Source organism: Homo sapiens, chromosome 2 (genome assembly GCF_000001405.40).
Source record: "Homo sapiens chromosome 2, GRCh38.p14 Primary Assembly".
Classification (NCBI taxonomy): domain Eukaryota; kingdom Metazoa; phylum Chordata; class Mammalia; order Primates; family Hominidae; genus Homo; species Homo sapiens.
In genome coordinates this window covers 164,513,192-164,538,519 of record NC_000002.12, presented here as the reverse complement: position 1 = coordinate 164,538,519, position 25,328 = coordinate 164,513,192, and the positions used below count along the sequence as shown (strand labels likewise).

Here is a 25,328-nt window from a genome sequence, read left to right as displayed (position 1 = left end):
AATATTTCTCCTTTCATGATGTAGTAAACCAGGTTTTGCAACTGGTGTGGTTTGCTTCACAGCCACTGGATGTCACTATAGTTCCCCAGATAGAATCCTCTGTGCTGTTATAATCAATGTAAGAGTAGGGTGGGGGAAAAACTTTAGCTTCAAGTCCTCTGAAACTTAATGGGATCCATGTTTGTCTTGCTCCCATTCTGATTCCTAATTGAAGCCATGGTATGAAGCAGTGGCAATTAACACAATACCTCAAGCGCATACCTACAGACTCCTCGGGAAGAGGAATTAATTGTATTTTAGTATCATTGCTAGGGACAGCTGAGATTTCCATTGTGAATATCATTGTGGAGTGGCTTTAATAAGCAAAATGAATGACTGGAGGCTTTTAATGAAACCATTTTAATGTGTGCAGCTATGCCCACGTGATCGCCTTAAGACAGAAGCGATGCACAGTGACAGTGAGGGAATGGTTCACAGCCTCCTGCTTGGAAGCTGCTCCTTCGCTCTTTTTTTTTTTTAACAAAGGAAGTACAAGTGTTTTTCCTCTTCTGGAGCTGACATGTAGTTGGACTTCCTGTGCAGTTTATAACATACCAGCCATCAGAGTTGTGACCACCCTCATCACAGCAGAAATCATTGTGAAGCCTTTGGGACATGTGGCACTGTGCTTCCTTCCATAAAGAGAACCATGTGCCCTGACCCTCTGGGCTTTCAGGAGACATGGTGTCCTGGTGGCACGCACAGACCGGAAATGGGCAATATGTAACTAGCAAAGATAGTAAGTGCCCACAACTAAATCTGCTTCTGATTCAGCTGATTTTTTCTTCTACATATTCTTATAGCCTCGGCTACATGAATTCAGGTCCGAGCATCTCTCCCCTCAGGTATTATGTTAGCCTCACAACTGGTCCTCCTGCCTCTGGTAGTACCAACATTATCCATCTGAATGCAGACCTGATTCTTTTTGCATTTGGATCCAAGGTCCTCTGTGGGGCTTGTAGCATCTTGTGACCTGTCTGCCCTTCATAGCTGCAGTCTTAATGTCTCACCCCTCCCTCCTTTTAGTTTATACATTAGAGAACTGCCTGCAGATGCCTGCATATACTACAGTTTCTACTCAGTTTTCTTGTTTGTGATGTTAAGAGTCACAGGAAACCCCTTCCTGTCCATCTTTACTTGGCTAACTGCTATGTATCTTCCAGGGCTTAGTTATTTTAGTTAAAAATGTCAGGAAAGTAAAACCCCAGCCTTTTCTTAAAAATACTTATGGCAATAAAGATGAAAACTCTGAGCTGTCCAAGCTGACTGATAGGTAACGTAGTGCCACTGTCCAGGGAGAGTGGAGAGAGAAAAGCAGTTGGAGGCATCCCATGCTCAGCCTTGTGAAGTAGAATCACCCTTTCCATCTATCTGACAGCAGGCCGGGAGACACACCTGCCTCTTACACTTGCCTGACTGCATGGCGCAAACTGCTGCTGCTGCTCCAGGGCTGTTCCTTGAGATGATCAGGATGCTTGCTGCCACCGTCCGTACTCATACACCCCTTGGGCAATTGCAAATCCTGAAAACAGCAGAGAGCTGCAGGAGGCACTAAGAGTGTTAGTGATGAATTGTGTCCTGGGAGGTGATGCTTCCACAGGACATACTATATAGGTGGGTGTGAGAAACAAGCCGTGTGGACAAGATTTAGATACAAGGTTGTTCAAAGTAGATTGTTTATAATATCAATTAACTAGACAAGTAAAACCTCAGTATAAAAGGAGAATGTTATAAATTATAGTACATCCATAGGTTGTAATGTTATGCAGCTTTTGATCATGCTTTTATTCTTCCTTTGAAGACTGATGTGGGTAAATGTAAGGTTGTGGTGACGATTGAATAAAATCAGTGCATAAACATATGATGTTTTCTAATATTATAAAAAGTATATACACATACACTCATATAGAGCAAGAGAAAACGACAAGAAAGGAATATACTGAAAGGTTAGGTGCTTATTCCTGATTGACAGGTTTAAAGATGTATTGTGATTGTAAGTTATCTGTATTTGTAAAATTTCCTTTAATGGAATGTATTATTTTAATAATCAGAAAAAAGAAATAAACACAATTTTAAAAACTTTTAAAGAGATTTTTAAAGCCTTAGCTCAGACATCTTTCTGAAGCCCCAAGTTGGACAAAATACACATCTTCTTTGCTGCTGTAACAGTTTCTACAACTATCTTAACAGTGATCAAATTATTAAAATTAGACAGTAATTCCATGGAGCTGGGACTCTCTGTACACTGCATCTTTGTAACCCAGGGTCTAAGACAAATAAATGTGTTTGGAACTAAGTCATACTAAACTGTAAGGCATTTATATCAAAAAATTAAAAGGATGGATTACAAAGTACATAGAAGGAATAGGCTTGGAAAAGAAGCCAAAGAAATCACATGCTGTGCTCAGATAGAATTTACTCTTGAGTCCTCAAAGAATGCTGTGAGAACCTTCGAATTAATGGAAGCTGTCTGTAAGCTCTTCAGATATTTACCCAGTCAACTCGAGATCATATATATGCAGGCATTTTTGTGGAAAAATAAGGCTGCCTCTGAATATAAGTTCCAATGGTTGGGTCGGAGTTAATTGGAGACTATTTCCCCTCGCAGAAGAATGAACTGCAGGGCTTTATAGCCATCAAGCTGAAGTGTCACAATTTTCCTATTATTGCACTTGGGGAGTTGAATGTGTCTGATGGCAATTTTCTGAGGGATCCTGCTGGTATTAAGTAGTATTCTTAGGTTAAGGAACCTTTTAGAAATTGAGCTGTGTTTTATTCTTTGCTTCTCCAGTTTTTGTTTTGCTTGGCCAGAGGCTGTTCATTTTTATCTGAAAATAAGATTGACAAAATGTATGTAGTTTCTACCCAGCATAGAGAAGTACAAGGACCATTTGTCTCCTGGAGTTTCCTGTAAAAAAGGTATTCAAAAAATTGTTTTCTGAGCGAATTAGAGGTAAAAGCCACTTTTGTTTCTTCTCTTATCAAGTGAGAGAAGAGTAGGGACTCAGGTTTCTATTTGAGCTCCACGCTGTACTTGGCAGTAGATTCAGCAAAGAAATCCAGGCAGAAGGTCACAGGTGAGCACTCTCCATTCTTGGAGGATTGAGGTTTTTAAAAAGACTTTGATGTTAAATCAACAGTTTCAGAAGAAACTTCTTGCTTTCTTCTTCTTTTTTCTTTTCTTTTTCTTTTTTTAAAGAAAGAGTTTCTGAAAATTCAAAAACAGAATTACATGTAGTTATCATTATTTGGTAATATTTCTTTTTATTACCATAAGACCTCACTGACCTATTAGAAACAAAAAACACAACTTAAGGCAATAGGAAATTTTTGTTTTTGTTTTGAAAAAGCCTTTAAAATGCTTTTGAAGCTTTTCTTTTTCCATCTTCTTGATTGCTATGTTGAAGTAATTTAAGAGGGCTTCCCTCCTATTTTTCTACCTACATATGAGTGGTAGTTGACAATTGTAATTTACTTTCCAATGCCCGAAAAATAACGTCAGAAAGTTTTATTTTAAATAGACTTGTATCTGTGAAGTTTTAATAACATGTTTTATTATAGTATTTTAGATGGATTTTATAAAGTTTTAAAAATAAAGTCTAAAATAATAATTTTGAATTCATGTGATTCCTACCTGTGGTCACTTCTCAAATGGTAATTCAAAAAGTACCTGAGTTCATTCTGGGTTTTGAACATAGCAGCAAAGAGCCCCTAGTTGTAGAATTCATATTGTTCCTTTTTGATATTTGAAATAAATGATAAATAACTTAGTAGGATTACTTACTTGGTTAAAATTTGCTTGGTAGGAGAAAGGTCCAAGAAAGTTTATTAAAGGCCTTTTGTTTTAGTGTTTTGTTTTGTTTTCCCTTTTCTTAGGTCTTGGTGATGGTGTTTTTTGGCTAGACCAAGGCAAGAGAAAGTTGGTCTTCAGCAACATTTCACCTCCTTTTGCAGCGTTTTTATTTTCTTCTCAAAGTAGTCCATCTAGTCATCTTGTATATTCCTGTTGAATTTTCTGTCTACTAGGGCCTGTATTTAGTCAGATATCTGCATTGAAAAAAGAAATGCTAATTTTATGTGAGATGTGATTAACTGATATTCAATTATGCCTCCCAGGGTTATTTGGATTATTGTAACATTAATCCTTTAACATAATGAGATTGGTTGGGGGAAGGTACAATTCATGCAAATTGGGATGGTGATATATAAATTTAAAAAGAATATGTAATATAATTTCTAAAAATCAGTTTCTACAATAAGAAAATTATATCTTCATTACCAGGCTAGTATATAAGGTAAAAAACTATAGCTGCATTCAATCCACTTGACTTTTATTAGCTTCCTTAATATGTTATCTGAATTTTTGATAGAATAGTACTAGAAATCTTTTTTCGAAGGAATGGAATGTATGTCTTTGGCTTTCTCACATACTCTATTTCTTGATGGCTTTTTAAAAGATGTATTTTTCTTAAGATTACCAGATTATTTTCCTAGTGCTAGTAATTGCAGTATGTAAATACTCAGTTTTATAGTTCTGTGACATTTTCTGCAAATCTTTTATCCTTTATTTTATTTTTTCAAGATTGGTATTCTGGTTTTTATTTGCATGTAGTCAACAAAACCCCTGACTAGATTCCACTTCTTGGTAACCATACACATTACGCTAGTTCTTTTTTATATTCAGACTCCTGAGTAGCTGGGATTATGGGCATGAGCCACCGAACCTGCTTAGTTCTTTAGTTACACATTTGTCATAGCTGTTCAAATGTAGTTTGATTTTTCAACCTTTTTTGTTTTATTTTCTTTTTTGATGCAGTCCAAATTCAAATGATTTGTACTTTGAAGATTGACATAATTTGAAATCTTGCCCATTACTGTTTTGTCCCTTACACTTAAAATGTGATTTACTTTCAGTTAATTAGCAAATATTTATTGAATACCTTTCAAAATAAAAGAATTGGGGCCGGGCGCGGTGGCTCACGCCTGTAATCCCAGCACTTTGGGAGGCCGAGGCGGGCGGATCACGAGGTCAAGAGATCAAGACCATGGTGAAACCCCGTCTCTACTAAAAATAGGAAAAATTAGCCGGGCGCAGTGGCGGGTGCCTGTAGTCCCAGCTACTCGGGAGGCTGAGGCAGGAGAATGGCGTGAACCCGGGAGGCGGAGCTTGCAGTGAGCCGAGATTGCGCCACTGCACTCCACCATGGGCGACAGAGCAAGACTCCATCTCAAAAAAAAAAAAAAAAAAAAAAAAAAGAATTGGAAACAACTAAGGTAGAGAACGGCAGGAGCATGAAAGAGCAATTTTAGTTGATATAGACAGAATGTGCAGGATGTAAATAGATCCAGCAGAGGCGCTAGGGAATGTCCCTTGGGTGAGAACTTCCATGAAGTTGAAGCAATGTGTGCAGGGAAAAGAACATCAACTTGGGCTCAGACATGTGGTTGTCATTCAACCTGGGCACTTGGGACCTACAAGAGGGGGCACTTGGGACCTACACCATCCAATTACCATCCAGCTCCCTCACAGTCTCCACTCCACCAGTTTCCTTCAATAACTCTTTAACTCTGCCTCGTTTCCCAGAGGGCAGAGGGTGGGTCCATATACATGGCTATTCTGAACCTCTGTTTCTATCTGTAAAATGGAACTATAACTTGCTTATTACATTATTATATTGATTTCCTAAGGCTTATGTAACAAATTACAAATTTGGTGGCTTAAAAAATAGAAATGTATTCTTTCACAGTTCTGGAGAGTCACATTCTTTCCAAGAACCTTAGGGAGATTCCACCCCTTGCCCGTTAACAGCTTCTCTTGGCTACTAGCATTCCTTGGCTTGTGATGATTTCACTTGAACCTCTGCTTCCCTGATCACATTGCTTTTCCTCTTCTGTCTGTGTTAAATCACCTGCCTCTGTCTTAAAAGGATATATGTGATTGGATTTAGGTCCTACCTTAATCCAGGATATTCCCCCCATTTCAACATCCTTAATTTAATGACATCTGCAGAGGCTTTACCACATAAGGCAACATTTACAGGTTCTAGAGATTAGGACCTGATATCTTTAGGGCCATTATTTAGCTTACTATAGGTATTATAAGAATTAAATACAATAATGAAACAGCTGTCAGACTCAGACATGCAGAAATTACTGTATTTTGAATTAGTTTCTGATACTGAGTAACCTGGCTTAAGAACAGACAGGTTATTCTTCTATTATTTGTTTGTTCTCTGGATTGTTCTTAGTCTTTTTGGGGAAAATAATCAATGCAGTTTTTATCAATGAGTTCCATACACGTTTGAAATGTGTTCAGTTGAAGGTTTAGACCTACCTTCACTCCTCCAGCACTCTGTTGGGACATGTAAATCCCCAGAGGGATATCTGTCTAACTTTTATCCAACTGTTGTCTTCATGTTGTAGAAACTCCTGCTTTTTAAGCTTATTGCTTATATCATGATGACCCTTAGGTTCATGGTCTTCCTTTAGTCCTTCCACATTTCTTCTCAGGAATGTGGCACTACAATACTCTTGCCCCGTACTGGGATGCTGTGGACTTGACATTGTACTTAGCTATTGCTTCTCTGTCATGCTTGGTGAAGGGCTTCTATTTAAGGGCAGGGTATAGACTTTCCTAAGTCTATGCTCTGATTTGAGCCACATACCACTGTTAAACCTATCCGGAGTCTTACAACTCATAGAGGGTTCTGTTCAGGAAGGAGGCAGGATATGGGGTCACTTGGGACCTACACCATCCAGTTACCATCTAGTTCCCTCACAGTCTCCATCCACTCCACCAGTTTCCTTCAATAACCCTTTAACTCTGCCTCCTTTCTCAGAGGGCAGAGGGTGGGTCCCCACAAGTGACAATGGAGGATTGACTAGGCATGCTTCTTCCTAAATAATTATATTTGTCAAAAATTGATAAAGTCTACTGTGACACTCAAAAAAACAACAAAATGCCTCTTTGCTATTTTTTCCTTTCTTTATAGTGTAGTATGAGGGCAGAATTCATACTATTTTCTTAGAGGTAGAGGAAGGTAATGGGTCCAAGGAAACACAGGTTGGCAAAGCAAACAAACAAACAAGCATCTTTGTTGATATCTTGAAATTGTCTCCCACTGCAGTTGCAAAGAATACAGATACCGTGCTTAGCACATAGTGCATTTAATAATGTGTACCTGTGTTTCATAATCTTGAAAATACCAGCTGAGTTTGTGTGAAAAGTAAACAGAAGTAAGGACAGATTTTTAAGGATGCAACTTCCCCCTTGGTAGCTCAGTGATCACTGGATGTCCCTCCAGTTTGTCTTGCAGTTTTTCTAGCTTATTACTGGTAACACATCCTTCCAAGTGCTAAGGCTGAGAACCTTGATGTCTTCCTCAAGTACTTTCTTTTTCACTCCATATCCAATTTGTCAGTGAATTCTGTTGTCCCTACCTTCAAAATACATCAAGATTCTGTGTATTTTTTTTAACCACATCAACTGCTACCATGCTAATGTAAGCTGCATCATCTCTCCTGGGGTTAGTTCCAATAGCCTACCAAATGGTCTTTGTGCTTTCAGCCTTTTAAAATCAGTTTTCTGCTCCACAGTGTGATCCTATTGAAACTTGTTAGTTCATGTTATTCCTGTGTTCAAAATGACTTCCCATCTAACACAGAGGAAAAGCCTAGCCCTTACTATAGACTGCAGGGCTTTCTACAACCCACTATCTCATCCCCATTATTTCCTTAACTTCTTCTCCTGGGATAACCCCTTTTCCTTGTTCAGCATTAGCCACACTAACCTCCTGGCTGTATTTCAAACATACCAGCCTTTCTCTCACCTCAAGGGTTTTTTTTTCTTGCTTCTCCTCTCTATCTGCTTGGCTCCTGTCCTCTTCTCCTTTAGGTCTCTGTTTAAACATTACCTTCTCAATGAGGCCTTCTTGATAAGCTGATGGAAATGGATTCCTATCCCCTGTCCTCAGCACTTTCTCTCTCTTCGCTGCTCTATTTTTCCCTGTAAGGTTTATCACCACTATTATGGTTTAAATATATGCCCCTCCAAATTTCATGTTGAAATGTGATCCCCAGTGTTGGAGGTGGGCCTAGTGGGAGGTGTTTGGGTCATGAGGGCAGGTCTCTTGTGAATGACTTGGTGCCATCCTTGTGGTAATGAGTGAATTCTCACTCTATTTGTTCACACAAAAGCTGGTTGTTCAAAAAAGCCTGGCATGTCTATTGCTGTCTCTTGCCGTGTGACACGCCTGCTCCCCCTTTACCTTCCTGCATGATTGTAAGCTTCCTGAGACCTCACCAGAAGCAGGTGCTGCTACCATGCTTCCTGTATAGCCATGAGCCAAATAAACCCCTTTCCTATATAAATTACCCAACCTCAGGTATTTCTTGACAGCAACAAAAAATGGATTAAGACCACTACTTTTTATGATTCACATTTTATTTATTGTCCATGTATTCCCATTAGAATGAAAGCTTCATGAGGGCAGTTATTTTGTTACTGTCTTCTCCACTACAAAATTTTTAGCCCTAAGATGAGTTTTTGACATACTGTGAACCTTCAACAAATATTTGTTGAATGGATGAACAAATGACTAAGTTATAACTAACTGCCAGACTATATGCATTTATCTATAACAGGCAGAAGCAGACAAGCTTTTTGGGCAGGGTTCACATTCATACACATGTTTTAGGAGGTTTGCTATGCTATCGGTGTCCACGTTGGATTAGAAGAATGAGAAAGTAGAGGCTTGAAGATTAGTTAGGCTGAACAACAAAAGGCAAAGGTCTAAATTGAAATGGTGACAGTGGGACCTGGTGTGGGGGTTGTTTGTTGTGTAAGAGACACTCAGAGAAAGAATCCCTGCTATCTGAGAATTTCAGGAGTAGAAGATATTGGAGCAGACGTAGAGAAAGTTGCAAAGGTGAGTTGTAGTCTACTTTTTTTGACGGAATGTGGTAAAAATGACAGTAATGGAGACGGGATAATTTAGGAAGAAAAAGTCATTTGAAAGGGAAAAATGTAGATGACTTTGTTTCGTTTTTAAGTTTAAAAAGTTTTTTGGTACCATTTGAAATTTTGTATGTGTACAGTTCAGTGGCGTTATATGAATTCACATTGTTGTGCAACCATCACGACTGGCCATCAATCTCTGAAATATTTTAATTTTCTCATACTGAAACTCTGCATCAATTAAACAACAACCCTTTATTCCCTACTCCCTCCTACCCCTGGCAGCCACCATTCTACTTTCTATCTCTATGAATTTGACTATTCTAGGTACCTTGTATAAGTGGAATCATACAGCATTTGTTCTTTTGTATTTGTCTTATTTCACTTAGCAAAATAGCTTCAAGGTTCATCTATGTTGTAGCATGTGTCAGAATTACATTCCTTTTTAAAGCTGAATATTCCATTGTAGGTACTGCGTATACCACATTTGTTATCTATTCATTGTTCATGGACATGGACATTAGGTTTCCACCTTTTGGCTATTGTGAATGATGTTGCTATGAACATTGGTATACAAATTTCTGTTTGAGTCCCTGCTTTCGCTTCTTTTGAGTAAACAGCCAGAAGTGAAATTGCTGATCCTATGGTAATTTTATGTGTAATATTTTGACTTTGGTTTTAGACATACTGTATTTGAGGTGGTGCACAGTATAGTAGTTAGGACAGGAGCATGGGTGAGAACAATTATAGCCAGAGATTTCACTTCAGAAAACCTGACAAATTAGATGGTTGAAGAGGTGAGAATGGATTAATTTATAGGGGGAGAAAGAAAAGAGTTGAACCAAGATTGTAGGAGGAGAAGGAGCTAGTGGAGCCAGTCGATGGGATAGAAAAGGAGCAATCAGAGTTAGGAATAGAACCCCAAGTGTTGATATATACTTAGCTCAAACTCATCCATATTCATTGAACACTCTTAACTGAACTTCTTTTTTGGATGAATAAATGTCTATTTAAGAATGATATTACTTTCAAGAGTTTGGGTGTTGTAGGTCACAAATCACTACTGAATGTTGAATTTCTGAGACATAAATGCTTTTTAAAAACATCCTAGAAACAGTAAAACAGCAGAGAGTTTCCATATTCCTTATTTGGTTGTTCTCCATTTCCTATTTTGCATTGGTAATTTCCAGTTTCTTTTCTTTTCTCCACCTTTTATTGAAGTATGGCATACATTAAGAAAAGTGTACAAACCAAGTGTGCACAACTCAATGGACTCTCAGATATTACATATACTGGAGTAACCAACCCCAAGATCAAGAAACAGTATTGTACTCACCCCAGTGATTCCGTTCATGCCCCCACTTACTTAATGTCTCCAAAACCCTTTCTAGCACTGTAGATTAATTTTGCTGTTTTGAACCTTATGTAAGTAGAATCATGCAGTATATACTATCTGTGTCTGGATTCTTTAATTAAATATTGTGTTCATGAAATGCAGTATTTATCCATACTGTTGTGGGTTGTTGTAGTATATTTTCACTGTGTGCTTTTACACAATTTACTTGTTCATTCTCATGTCAGTGGGCATTTGGGTAGTTTCAAGTTTGGGGCTATTATGAATAATACTACTGTCAACATCCTCACAGTTTCTTATAAAAATAGGAATTTCGCATGTTATAGTCACCTCTTTAAAACTGCCTTTGCTTACTTCATTTAAGTGCCTTTTCTGCCAAGTGCCTTCCCACCCACTTAATTATCTTCATTGTTAATACAAAATATATTTTCCTTGGTATTAGCTTTGAAAGTATAAAGTGCCCCAAGGAATTGGGCTTCTTAAAAAAAACCTGTATCTTCTTGTATTAAAATTTTCCTTTAAAGCATTTATTTTAATTCTTCTCAGCTATCCAGATTAGTCTGGACAGTCTTAAATGCACATGAACCTGTCAAAATTCTTCATCTCTTAATGAGGTGAATTGTCCAACCTTGAAATAAATACTTTAGTTTTGGCACCATGATGAGTCAGAGAAAAAAATAGTTCCCATATACTTAATGCAGATGTGTTATCAAACTTATATTATTTACACAGTAATAAAAGGAAATTGAGATAACAAAAAGTACATTATGATATTTTATACATTTTTTTCTTTCTAGACAACAGTCTGCTTTGGTATAAAAATGAACATTAGTAATTGAAAATTGATGACAAATTTTATCAATCTGGCTATCTCATAATTAAGTTGAAATCTGCTATGTTTAACAAAGATGCGTAATACATTTTATATGTTTGTATGTGTCTGTGTGTGTATATATATATATATATATATATATATATATATATATATATATATTTGTCTATCTGTCAACATACTCATTGAAACATTCTTTACAGAAAGAACAATAGAAGACCACGAACTGGTGATTGAAGTGCTATCCAACTGGGGGATAGAAGAAGAAAACAAACTATACTTTAGAAAAAATTATGCCAAATATGAGTTCTTTAAAAACCCAATGGTAAGTGAAATCCCTCCTAATAGTTACGGAAAATAAATGAACCCGTTAAATTTTATGTGAAGAAGATAGTCACTGTAAATAAAATACAGTCCTATTCGGTAAATTGTAGATGAAGACTCTGGTCCTTTGAAATTATACCCATATTTCTTATGCTAACAATGATTAGTGAACATTATACACAGAAGTTCAGATACACAGGTGCAAAACTTTTTAAAGCCGTATTGGTAAAGTCTGAATTGAGATGAATTTGGTTTATTTAATTTAAAAGTATTAGGAAACCTAGTTTTGCCTTTTGTGAAAAGGTAACAATTATACATTTGATGTGGGAAATGAATTTCTATAGGTTCTCACCCAGATTAGGAACAAGTGTTAAGCAAAATATTATATCTTAACACTTTCTATAGAATTTAGGAAATTTAAATAGCTTTCTAAAGTAAAAGCAGACTAATGATTGTTGAGAGTATTATAACTTAGCCAGAAATTAAGATTGACATGAATCTTGCTATTCCAAATTATTTTGTTTTCGGTGCAGTAATTTTTGAACTAAGTAGAAATGAGATAAAGACCAGTGCATTATCTAGTAAATACTACTTTCATTGTAGTTCTCTTTAAAAGAAAATAAATGTGTGTCACATTCTAATGAAGACTAGGGATCTAGAAAAGTCAGAATAGCCTCTGGGCTCATTATTTTAAATTGTTTTTGTCTCTGCAGCTGAAGCATATTTTTACACTAAGTTTTGGATGATAATTGGATTGAAATGATTCTTTATGAAAAATATATGATACACACCATAATAGAATATTTTCAAACCCTGAAAGACCTCTCACGTTGTCTTTTATCTTAACCTATTAATAGAAACATAATGGGATGATCTTTGGCAAAGAAAATTAGTCATAATAAAAATTAAATAAATTCAACTGTGAAGAGAAAGTGTTTCTTTTTGTTGTGAGTCCTTATTAAAGACAAGAATTTAAAAAGATATATTTAAAGAAATATTGTTCAATGCTTGTTTTTTATTTATTTTTTATTTAAACAAGGCTGGACATTTGTTTTGTAGACCTATTGCAGTGGTTCTTAACTGGGAGGTGATTGGACAATGTCTGGACACATTTTTGGTTGTCACAACTGGCAGTAGAGGGGAGGGCTGCTAGTGAGCAGAGGATAGGAATACTCTAAACATCTATAATATGCAGGAGTGCCCCCCCTCAACACAGAATTATTAGACCAAAATGTTAGTAGAACTACTGTTGAAAAACCCTGTCCTAGAGGAAATATAGTAGAATATATTTTCCCAAACTTGTCTAATCATAAAATTTACTGAGGGGAGAGTGCTTATTAAAAACATAGAATCCAGGACTTGCCCGGATCTACTGAATCAGAAACTCCAGGAATGAGGCCTGGGAATTCCTATTTTAAACAACTGCCCTGGGTGAATTTTATGATTAAAAAGTTTGGAAAAATGGTAGGTAGAAAGAACTGGACTTTTAGCTCCCAGCCCAGTTTAAGTCCTGACCTCCACTGTGCTGTGGGCTATGACCTTGGGCATACCCTAAACTCTGTACTTCTGTGAGCCTGTTCCTTGTAAAATGTCATGGATAGTCCTTTTGACCTGATAGGCTGGTTGCGGGACTCAGGAATAAGATGTGGGAGCAAGCACATTGTCAACTTCAGGGCAGTGTTTTATAACTCCAGATACTTGAATCCATCCACATCAGCATTATCTGGGGGCATTTGCTAATCTTTGTGCCCAACTCCAGACATTCTCATTAAGGTACCTATGAGTAGAGTCTAAGGACGGGCATTTTCAAAAGCACTTTTGGGTGAATTTTAGTCACACCAGTTTAAAGAACTTTTGCTTTTGATTACTATATTGGTCATAATTGAATCTTTTCTAGCATGAATTTTGTGATAATTTAACTGTGTCTTTTTGACAGTATTTTTTTCCAGAGCATATGGTATCTTTTGCAACTGAAACCAATGGTGAAATATCCCCCACACAGATTTTGCAGGTAAAATATATTTTTATTAACATATATAAATAATAGCATAATGAAGGAAAACTTTTAAGTCCTTTTTTATACATGCCCAGATTTTGAAAAGTTATGCTTTGAATTATTATTAATATTTTTTGCTGGAGGTAAAACTAAAAAAAAAATGCACCCAGGCAAAGAATGTCCTAAATCAATAAAGCTCTTTAACAATATTCTTCTTCCCAGTTTTAGCCAATTGTCAAAGGATTTTACATATTTAAAAATGTGTGTCTTAAAAGGAAACTTGCAATTTTGTTCTGTGATGTGTGTAAATATTATGTTAGTCTTTAGAAAAATCAGAATTCTTTGTAAAATACAGATATCTTACCAATAGATACTCAGTATCAGCTTTCATAATAAACACCCTCAATCCTATTTGTAATAAAATGTTTAGCAAATAAATGAAAGGAGATAAAAGATACAGGATGCAAATGTATTCACTAGCGTTTGTAATAGCTGTTATGGAAATCCTTGCATAGAATTGTGAAATATTCTTAGCTGAATTAAGAATACTAGTTATCTAATTAAAAATCTCCTTATTTTTGTGTCTATTGGACTCATTTCTTCCAAACTGGCAGTGGCTTGAAATGGTTATTTTCAAAGACATTGTCATTACAATAAATGAATAATTTCAGTTATTTTCTTTAATTTTCGATAGATTTGTAGATTTTACATCAGAAGCTCTACAGTTGTTTTTTACAGGTTAATGTTGAGCAATGTCTTTATAATGGTTGCCGTTTGAGCTCAGCCCCATGCATCCCCAAACCCACTCAGTATCCCCTGATCTTTAATGAAGACAACTTTTAATATTTCCAGTATTGTTTGACCTTAAAAATATTAGGTTGGCAGAGCTATCATGGATTTTTCTGTGGGCTTTTTAATAGGTTATATTTCATTTTTGTGCTTCAGAATATTTTTGAAACATGATTAGTCCCCAGAGATTTTTCTAAAAGCTGCTTCTGTGCTCCTGGGTTTTTACAGAGACACCCTGTCAAAATGTTAGGTAAATGGCAGCAGCAGCTGTGCCCCAGGACTTTCAGATCTCAGCCCTCTGAATGCTTCACCACTGTATTACAACACAGTGGTGGGATGGAGTTTTTATTCCGCCTCCTTTTGCAAGTCTTCCTGTAGCACAGTTATGTTGCTTTAATGTTAAATTATAAAAACAAGAAAAATCACAGGCTTTGGAATCAGATAGTCCTGCATGTGCCCCTGACCTCTTCTCTCCACTGAGGCAATGTTTCCCCTTTTTAAAAGGTTTCTTCTTTTTCTAGTGTGACCTCTATGACTCTCTTTTTAAAATTTAATTGGTTTGGTTTAATAACTTGGAAAGCACTCAAACTAAAAAACCTACTTGCCTGTTTTGCATGTCAATTAATTAATATCTGTGGCTCATTAAATTAAATTTCTTTTAGTAATTTACTTTAAAAAACATAAATATCTACTGTCAGCATTTCCTTTAGTAGCCTTTTAAAATGTGTTACACTATTTTAGTTAATAAATTCCCTTATTTCAAATTTTTTCCATTTGTTTATTCAGAGGGATTTCTATTTTCTTTTTTTTTTTAAATGAGACACTAATGCATTTCCACTGTCTTATTAAGGATGCTGAGCACAAACGCTCAGTTGAGCTATTCCTTTTCATTCTCATTTTCTTGACCAACACATGCCCACTGTCTCAATTAATTATTACCATGTAACAAACTATTCCAAGCCTTTGTGGTTTAAAGTATCCATTTACATTTTGCCAACAATTTGTGGGACAGGCATCTGGGAAGAGTTTAGCTGGGTGGGTCATCTCTGAGGCACGTTGACTCAGTGCTGGGGATTGAAGGTCCCCTTCTAAGAGAGTTTTTTGACTGCATGTCGTTTGATACTCCTTGGTGTCTCTGTCTCTCTCCCCTGTTTCCCCCCACTTACTGTCTCTCTCTGTCTGTCTCATGGTGTCTCATCCTGCAGGGCTTTTCCAGTTGCATTGGACTTTTTACCTGTGATGGTCTCAGAGTAGTCACATTTCTTATGTGACAGCTGGATTCCAAGGGCCAAGTCACGAAAATCACCAGGCTAGTTAAGGGCCACACCTAGAATTGGCAAAGGGTCACTTCCACATATTGTATGGGTCAAAGCAATGACAGGCTTGCTCGCATTCAAGGGAGTGGAGAAAGACTCCACCTTTTTGTGATTCAGTGGCAAGATGACATTACAGAAGAGCATGTGGGATGGAAGACATTGTTGCTGTCCTCTTTGGAAAACATGACCTGCCACATCCACCCACAACTGAGAACCACAGATGACAAAGAAGAGATAGTTTTGTTTGCTTTACCCGCCTCAAGGAGGTGAACTTGGCTCAACTTCCTGCTTCACAATTGAAGTCAGGATTGTGGTCTTACTTATACCATAATGAAGTTAATAGGTAAACCTGTAATCTCAGGGAAAACCATGGAAAACGATGAAAAGCATATCAGGACTTAACGCAATAGATGACGTCCAACTTTTTGAATGGACATTCAATTAGCTGATAATTTTGGTAGTTAGATAACTATGTACTATCACTTAGAATGTATATTTTGTGAACTCATTTTCATTTGAAACATCTTAGGTTTTTGGAAGACTGATTTATTTTCTGTGTGTGTATGTGTGTGTGTATACACACACGGAGATAGAAAGAGAGACAGAGGAGAGAGATATACCAAGGACTATCAAAGCAATGCAGTATACACAAACACATAGTTAATTACCATAATGTTATATGTTATGATCTTGTGTGATTTTTACATGTTTATATTTGGAATCTTAATATGATTAGTATAAGGCTACCATATCATTGATTTAATCATAGTTTGAAAATATATAAATTTTCTTTCAGATGTTTCTGAGTTCAAGCACATATCCTGAAATTCATGGTTTCTTACATGCGAAAGAACAGGGAAAGAAGTCTTGGAAAAAAATTTACTTTTTTCTAAGAAGATCTGGTTTATATTTTTCTACTAAAGGAACATCAAAGGTAAATTGAAGTATCCATGATGTGTTATGACTGACATATTAAGCTGTAAGTTAAAACACGTTGACTTTGTTGTATTTATTACTTTATTACTTGATGTCAAAGGTTGGTCTTTGATTTTCTTGATTTAAAACGTTTGCCTTGATTATTTAAACACTACTCAGCTTTACTTCACACTGGTTTCAAAGTGTAGTATCTTTGATGGAGTCTGGATACTCTTATTTCAGTACAACGTATGTTACTCCTTTGTCCTCACTCTGAATTCACTCCTTTCTCCTCATCCTTGGCTTCAGAGTTTGAAGCCTGATGTAGTGTATACCTTTTCTTTTTACCCCAGGTCATACTGCTGATCTTGTCTACTTCTGAATCTCTGTTGATCAACATCAACAGAACAGTTAATAATAGAACAGTTAATAAAATGTCTCTTCTGAGTCATTTATTGCTCTTTTATTATTGATTGATGGATTTATTTCAATAGGTTTTTAAGGAACAGGTAGTGTTTGATTACCTGAGTAAGTTCTTTAGTGGTGATTTCTGAGAGTTTGGTGCACGCATCAACAGGCAGAATACACTCTACTCATTGTATAGTCTTTTATCCTTCACCCCCTCCCACCTTTTCCCTGAGTCCCCAAAGTCCATTGTATCATTCTTATTCCTTTGCATTCTCATAGCTTAGCTCCCACTTATGGGTGAGAACATACAATTTTTGGTTTTACATTCCTGAGTTACTTCGCGTAGGATAATGATCTCCAGTTCCATCCAGGCAGCTGGGAATGCCATTATTTCATTCCTTTTTATGGTTCCGTGGTCTGTCTGTCTATCTATCTGTCTGTCTATCTCACAATTTCTTTATCCACTCGTTGATTGATGGGGATTTGCGCTGGTTCCATATTTTTGCAATTGTGAATTGCGCTGCTATAAACTTGCATGTGCAAGTATCTTTTTCATATAATGACTTCCTCTGGGAAGATACCCAGTAGTGGGATTGCTGGATCAAAATGTAGTTCTACTTTTAGTTCTTTAAGGAATCTCCACACTGTTTTCCAAAGTGGTTGTACTAGTTTACATTCCCACCAACAGCACAAAAGCATTCCCTTTTCACCACATCCACACCAACATCTACTGTTATTTGATTTTTTTGATTATGGCCATTCTTGCAGGAGTAAGGTGGCATCACATTGTGATTTTGATTTGCATTCCCTTGATCTTTGGTGATGTTGAGTATTTTTTTCATATGTTTGTTGGCCATTTGTATATCTTCTTTTGAGAGTTTTTTATTGATGTCTTCAGCGTACTTTTTGATGGGATTCTTTGTTTTTTTTCTTGCTGATTTGTTTGAGTTCCTTGTAGATTCTGGATATTAGTCCTTTGTCAGATGTAGAAATTGCAAATATTTTCTCCTGCTCTGTGAGTTGTCTGTTTACTCTGATGAGTGTTTCTTTTGCTGTGCAGAAGCTTTTAGTTTAATTAAGTCCTATCTATTTATCTTTATTTTTGTTTCATTTGATTTTGGGTTCTTAGTCGGGAAGTCTTTCCCTAAGCCAATATCTAGAAGGGTTTTTCTGATGTTATCTTCTAGAAACTTTTGTGGCTTCAGGTCTTAGATTTAAGCCTTTGATCCATCTTGAGTTGATTTTTGTATAAGGTCAGAGATAAGGATCCACTTTCATTCTTCTACATGTGACTTGCCAATTATCCCAGCACCATTTGTTGACTAGAGTGTCCTTTTTCCCACTTTTTTTTGTTTGCTTTGTCAAAGACCAGTTGGCTGTTAAGTATCTGGCTTTATTTCTGTATTCTGTTCCATTCGTCTATGTGCCTATTTTTATACCAGTACTTTACTGTTTGGGTGACTATGGCCTTGTAGTATAGTTTGAAGTCGGGTAATGTGATGCCTCCAGGTTTGTTCTTTCTGCTTAGTCTTGCTTTGGTTATGCAGGCTCTTTTTTGGTTCCATACAAATTTTAGGATTTTTTTTTCTAGTTCTGTGAAGAACGATGATGGTATTTTGATGAGAATTGCATTGAATTTCTAGATTGCTTTTGGCAGTATGGTCATTTTCAAAATATTGATTCTGCCCATCCATGAGCATGGGCTGTGTTTCCATTTGTTTGTGTCATCTATGTTTTCTTTCAGCAATGTTTTGTAGTTTTCCTTGTAGAGTTCTTTCACCTTCTTGGTTAGGTATATTCCTAAGTATTTTATTTTATTTTTTTTACAGCTTTTGCAAAAGGGATTGAGATCTTGATTTGATTCTCAGCTTGGTCACTATTGGTGTATAACAGAGCTATTTATTTCTGTATGTTAATTTTGTATGCTGAAACTTTGCTTAATTCATTTATCAGTTCTAGGAGTTTTTGGGGGAATCTTTAGGGTTTTCTAGGTATACGATCATATCATCTGTAAACGATGACAGTTTGACTTCCTCTTTACCAGTTTAGATGCCCTTTATTTCTTTTTCTTGTCTGATTGCTCTGGCTAGGACTTTCAGTACTATGTTGAATAGAACCGGTGAGAGTGAGCATCCATTTCTTGTTCCAGTTCTCAGGGGGAATGCTTTCAACCTTTCCTCATTCAGTATAATGTTGGCTGTGGGTTTGCCATAGATGGCTTCGATTACTTTAAGGTATGTCCTTCTATGCCAATTTTGCTGAAGTTTTTTATCATAAAGTGTTGCTGGATTTTGACTAACGCTATTGAGATGAACATGTGATTTTTGTTCTAAATTCTGTTTATGTGTTGTATCACATTTATTGACTTGCATATGTTAAATTATCCCTCCATCTCTGATATATAACCCACTTGATCATGGTGGATTATCTTTTCAATATGCTGTTGGATTCGGTTGGCTAGTATTTTGTTAAGGATTTTTGCATCTATGTTCATCAGGGATATTGGTCTGTAGTTTTCTTCTTTTGTTGTGTCCTTTCCTGGTTTTGGTATTGGGGTGATACTGGCTTCATAGAATGATATAGGGGTGATTCCCTCTTTTTCTGTCTTGTGGAATAGTGTCAATGGGATTGGTACCAATTCTTCTTTGAATGTCTGATAGAATTCAGCTGTGAATCCATCTGGTCCTGGACCTTTTTTTTTGTTGATCATTTCTTTTATTACCATTTTAATCTCACTGCTTGTTATTGGTCTGCTCAGCGTTTTTATGTCTTCCTGGCTTAATCTAGGAGGGTTATCTTTCCAGAAATTTATCCATGTTCTCTAGGTTTTTTAGTTTATATGCATAAAGGTGTTCATAGTAGCCTTGAATGATCTTTTGTATTTCTCTGGTATTGGTTGTAATATCTCCTGTTTCATTTCTAATTGACCTTATTTGGGTCTTCTCTCTTCTTTTCTTGGTTAATCTTGGCTAATGGTCTATCAATTTTATTTATCTTTACAAAGAACCAGCTTTTGTTTCATTTATCTTTTGTATTGTTTTATTTGTTTCAATTTTATTTAGTTCTTCTCTGATCTTTGTTATTTCTTTTCTTCTGCTGTGTTTGGGTTTGGTTTATTCTTGTTTCTCTAGTTCCTTGAGGTATGACCTTAGGTTTCCTATTTGTGCTCTTTTAGACTTTTTGATGTAGGCATTTAAGGCTATGAACTTTCCTCTTAGCACTACCTTTGCTGTATCCCAGATGTTTTGATAGGTTGTGTCACTATCATTGTTCAGTTCAGAGAAATTTTTCATTTCTATCTTGATTTCATTATTGACCTAACAATCATTCAGGAGCAGGTTATTTAATTTCCATGTATTTGCATGATTTTGAGGTTTCCTTTTGGAGTTGATTTCCAATTTATTACACTGTGTTCTGAGAGAGTACTTGAAATAATTTCAATTTTTAAAAATGTATTAAGACTTGTTTTGTGGCGTATCATATGGTCTACCTTGGAGAATGTTCTGTGTGCTGATGAATAGAATGTATATTCTGCAGTTGTTGGGTAGAATGTTCTGTAAATATCTGTTAAGTCCATTTGTTTTAAGATATGGTTTAAATCCACTGTTTCTTTGTTGACCTTCTGTCTTAATGACCTGTCTAGTGCAGTTAGTGGAGTATTAAAATCCCCCACTGTTATTGTGTTGCTGTCTATCTCATTTCTTTACGTCTAGTAGAAATTGTTTTATAAATTTGGGTGCCTTAGGATTAGGTGCATATATATATTTAGGATTGTGATTTTTTCCTACTGGACAATTTCCTTTATCATTATATAATATCCCTCTTTGTCTTTTTTAACTGCTGTTGCTTTAAAGTCTGTTTTGTCTGATATAAGAATAGCTATTCCTGCTCTCTTTTGGTGTCCATTTGCATGGAATGTTTTTTCCACCCCTTTACCTTAAGTTTATGTGAGTCCCTATGTGTTATGTGAGTCTCTTGAAGACAGCAAATACTTGGTTGGTGAATTCTTATTTATTCTTCCATTCTGTATCTTTTAAGTGGAACATTTAGGCCATTTACAGTCAATGTTAGTATTGAGATGTGAGGTACTGAGGTACTATTCTATTCATTGTGCTATTTGTTGCCTGAATACCTTGTTTCTTTTTTCATCATGTTTTTGTTTTATAGGTCTTGTGAGCTGTGAGCTTTATTCTTTTTTTGTAAGATGGTGATATGGTTTGGCTGTGTCCCCAACCAAATCTCATCTTGAATTGTACTGTCATAATTCCCATGTGCTGTGTGTGGGACTTGGCGGGAGATAATTGAATCATGGGAGCAGGTCATTCCCATGCTATTCTCGTGATAGTGAATAAGTCTCACAAGATCTGATGGTTTTATAAAGGGGAGTTTCCCTGCACAAGTTCTCTTGTCTACTGCCATGTGAGATGTGCCTTTCACCTTCTGCTGTGATTGTGAGGCCTCCCCAGCCATGAAGAACTGTGAGTCCCTTAAACCTTTTTCTTTTGTAAATTGCCCAGTCTCATGCTGATAAAGTATATCTTTATCAGCAGCATGAAAACAGGCTAATACAGATGGAGTCTTGCTCTGTCACCCAGGCTGGATTGCAGGGGCACCATCTCGGCTCATGCAACCTCCACCTCCTGGGTTCAAGTGATTCTTCTGCCTCAGCCTCCCAGATAGCTGGGATTACAGGCAAGGACCACCATGCCAGGGTAATTTATGTATTTTTAGTAGAGACAGGGTTTCACCATGTTAGCCAGGCTGGTCTCGAAATTCTGCCCTCAAGTGATCCACCCACCTCGGCATCCCAAAATGCTGAGATTTATTCTTTAAAGAGGTTCTATTTTGGTGTATTTTGAGGATTTGTTTCAAGATTTAGAGCTCCTTTTAGCAGCTCTTGTAGTGCTGGCTTGGTAGTGGCGAATTTTTTCAGCACTTGTTTGTCTGGAAAAGACTGCTTAGTTTCGCTGGATACAAAATTTTTGGCTGATAATTATTTTGTTTAAGGAGACTAAAGATAGGGCCCCAATCCCTTCTAGCCTGTAGTGTTTCTGCTGAGAGATCCACTGTTAATCTGGTAGGTTTTCTTTTTTTTTTTTTCTTTTTCTTTGAGTATCCCTCTGTTGCCAGGCAGAAGTGCAGTGGCATGATCTCAGCTCACTGCAACCTCTGCCTCCCAGGTTCAAGTGATTCTCCTGCCTTAGCCTCTCAAGTAGCTGGGATTACAGGCGCACGCCACCATGGTAGGTTTTCTTTTATAGGTTACCTGATGCTTATGCCTCATAGCTCTTAAGATTTTTTTCCTTTGACTAGGCTTTGGATAACCTGATGACTATTTCCCTAGGTGATGATTTTTGTGATTAATTTCCCAGGTGTTCTTTGAGCTTCTTGTATTTGGATGTCTAGATCTCTAGCAGGCTGGGGAAGTTTTCTTTGATGATTCCCTCAAATATGTTTTCCAAACTTTCAGATTTCTTTTCTTCCTCGGGAACACCAGTTCTTCTTAGGTTTGGTCATTTAACATAATCCGAAACTTCTTGGAGGCTTTGTTCATCTTTTAAATTATTTTTTTTTTGTCTTTGTTGGATTAAGTTGAAAGCCTTGACTTTGAGTTCTGAAGTCCTTTCTTCTACTTGTTTGATTCTATTGTTGAAACTTTCCAGAGCATTTTGCATTTCTTTTAGTGTGTTCTTTATTTCTAAAAGTTGTAATTGTTTTTTATTCATGCTATCTATTTCACTGAAGATTTTTCCCTTCATATCTTGTATCATGGCTTTTTTTTTTTTTCTCACTAAGTTGAACTTCACCTTTCTCTGGTGCCTTCATGATGAGCTTAATAATCAATCTTCTAAATTCTTTTTCTGACAATTCATAGATTTCTTCTTGGTTTGGATCCATTGCTGGTGAGCTAGTGTCATCTTTTAGGGGTAAGAAGTAACTTGTTTTGTCATATTACCAGTATTGTTTCTCTGGTTCCTTCTCATTTTGGGTAACTATGTCAAAAGGAAGATTTGTGGCTGAAGGGCTGCCGTTCAGATTCTTTTGTCCCACAGGGTGCTCCCTTAATATGGTGCTCTCCCTCTTCCCCTAGGGATGTGGCTTCCTGAGAGCCAAACTGCAGTGAGTGTTATTTCTCTTTCAGATCTAGCCACCCAGTGGAGCTCCCGGGCCCTGGGCTGGTACTGGAGAGTGTCTGCAGAGAGTTCTGTGATGTGAACCATCTTCAGGTCTCTCAGCCATGGATACCAGCAGCTGCTCCAGTGAAGGTGGCAGGGGAGTGAAGTGGACTCTGTGAGGGTCCTTAGTTGTAGTTTTGTTTATTGTGCTCGTTTTGTGTTGGTTGGCCTGCAGCCCGGAGTTGGCACTGTCAAGAGCATATCAGCTGCAGTAGTACAAGGAGGATCAGGTGGTGGATGGTGCCCTGGAGCACCCAAAAGATTATGTCCTTTGTCTTTGGCTACCAGGGCAGGTAGAGAAAGACCATCAGGTGGGACAGGGTTAGGCATGTCTGAGCTCAGACTCTCCTTGGGCAGGGCTTGCTGCGGCTGCTGTAGGGGATGGAAGTGTTGTTCTCAGGCCAATGGAGTTATGTTCCCAGGGGGATTATGGCTGCCTCTGCTGCATCATACAGGTTACCAGAGAAGTGGTGGAAAATCGGCAGTTACAGGCCTCACGCAGCTCCTGTGCAGCCCAGAAGTTCAGTTTAGCTCACTCCATGCCCCGCCAACAGCACTGAGTATTTTTCCAGGCAGCAGGTGAACAGGGCTGAGAACTTGCCTCAGGCAACCAGCCTCCCAACTGAGGAGGCAAGCAGGGATTTCAGGTTTTGCACCTCCCTACCTGCCAAGGCTTCTGTACTGTGTTTGCACTCCTGATTCACCCCCTCCCCCAGGTTCTGTCTAGGAAACAATGAGTCAGTTGAAATTGTTACAAAGTTCAGCTGGAATTTTCCTTCTCTCTGTGGTCTTTTCCAAGTTCCTCTGGCAGCCCTCCCCAGGGACCCCTGTGAGACAGTCAGAAAAGGCTTCCCCAGGGACCGAGAGTGCCCACAGGCTCTTCCTGCTGCTTTTTCTACCCTGTATTTCACTCAACTCTAAATTTGTCTCAGCTGTAGGTAATGTCAAATCCTTCTCCTGTGATCTGGACCTTCAGGTTCCGCAGTGAGGGTGTGTGTTCAGGGGTGGACGATCCCCCTTTTCACACTTTGGGTACTCACAGTTTTTTGGCTGTCTTCTGGGGGCCCTGAAGCAGCAATTCATTTCCTTCAAAGGGTCTGTGGATTCTGTTGGCTTTCCTTGTATGTTCCTGTGGTGGTTCTTGGAGCAAAAGTTCACAATGTGAATCTCCTCATGCTGTTCCGCAGAGTGGGAGCTGCAAGTTAGTCCTGCCTCCTGTTCCTTTACTTCTCTTTAGTTATTTTGTGTGTGTTATTTTGTCTCCTTACATACATTGTAAATTCCTAGAGGAAGTTATGATGCTGTCATCAGGGATGAATAGATATATTTGTCTACATGCTTATATGTTTACCTATATAATGGTTACATAGATACACATGTGCAGAAGTTTATATGCACATACATTATCACTTAAACATAAATGTGTATTCTACAGTGCTGCCTGGTTTCTGTGTCTAGTCTATGTCCATTATGTTATATAGTCTTTGGCATACAAGTGTTGACATTTTATGCAACGCATTGGTGTCTTTCAAGTAAAAATTCTTTTGAGAATTTTTATGGGAGGTTATTATTATTCTATTTTCATGCATCTATAGTTGTCAATGACAACACTGTTGCTTCTTTATGGGTTAAACTGTCTTTTTTCTCTGGCAGTTTTTCAAACATTCTTATAAGCTTTGGTGTGCAGTAATTTCCCTGCTATATTACTAGGTGTGTTGAAATATAGTCTGCTAAATCTTGCTTGATTCTTAGCACACACATTCAATCTGCAAACTCATCTTTTTTTCATACTAGAAATGTACATCCATTATTTATTTGACTACTTCTTTTCTATTCTTGTTATGTGATCTTTTGCATTTGTCTTAGGATTTTCTGTCTTGGCTAGTTATGACTTCAGATGTCCCATGGCTTGTCTCTGCCTTTGTATTCACAGGGCCTTCTCCCTTTCTCTCTGTATGTCTCTTATAACAACACTTGTCATTGGATTTTGGGCCCACCTAGATAATCTCATCTCAAGATCCTTAACTTAATTATATCTTCAGTGACCCTTTTTCTGAATTAAGGTTACATTTATAATTTCCTGGTATTAGGGCATGAGCATATTTTTTGGGGGGCTACTATTCAATCCACTACAGAAAGCCATTGAAGTGTTTGAACAAGGGAGTGAAATTACCAAAAGAGTATCTTGAGATTAGTTTGGTCACAGGGAGCTTAAAAGATCAA

General features: G+C 37.3%; 1 protein-coding gene across 6 annotated transcripts in view, besides 2 other annotated features; it reads left to right on the top strand.

Moving 5' to 3' along the window:
- GRB14 (growth factor receptor bound protein 14) overlaps window positions 1-25,328 on the top strand; it is a 129,066-nt gene that overhangs the window by 82,963 nt on the left and 20,775 nt on the right. For all 6 annotated transcript variants that reach the window (XR_427085.4, NM_004490.3, NM_001303422.2 and 3 more), the window contains 3 exons: window positions 11,385-11,506; window positions 13,442-13,516; window positions 16,403-16,540. Coding sequence is in view for 5 of the 6 variants with exons in the window: in NM_004490.3 (NP_004481.2) it covers window positions 11,385-11,506; window positions 13,442-13,516; window positions 16,403-16,540 (335 nt within the window). In the remaining variant the exon portion in view is untranslated. The remainder of the gene's footprint in view (window positions 1-11,384; window positions 11,507-13,441; window positions 13,517-16,402; window positions 16,541-25,328) is intronic.
- Window positions 23,089-24,288: an enhancer, noted in NCBI's record as "BRD4-independent group 4 enhancer chr2:165370742-165371941 (GRCh37/hg19 assembly coordinates)". NCBI's record gives its function as "activates an origin of replication core promoter dependent on BRD2, P300/CBP, MED14 and CDK7 cofactors, and independent of BRD4, by STARR-seq in HCT116 cells {active_cell/tissue: HCT116}" and the evidence as "EXISTENCE:reporter gene assay evidence [ECO:0000049][PMID:35650434]".
- Window positions 23,707-24,001: an enhancer, noted in NCBI's record as "tiled region #9133; HepG2 Activating DNase unmatched - State 1:Tss, and K562 Activating non-DNase unmatched - State 24:Quies". NCBI's record gives its function as "activates a minimal TATA promoter and a strong SV40 promoter by Sharpr-MPRA in HepG2 cells, with weaker activity in K562 cells {active_cell/tissue: HepG2 | K562}" and the evidence as "EXISTENCE:reporter gene assay evidence [ECO:0000049][PMID:27701403]".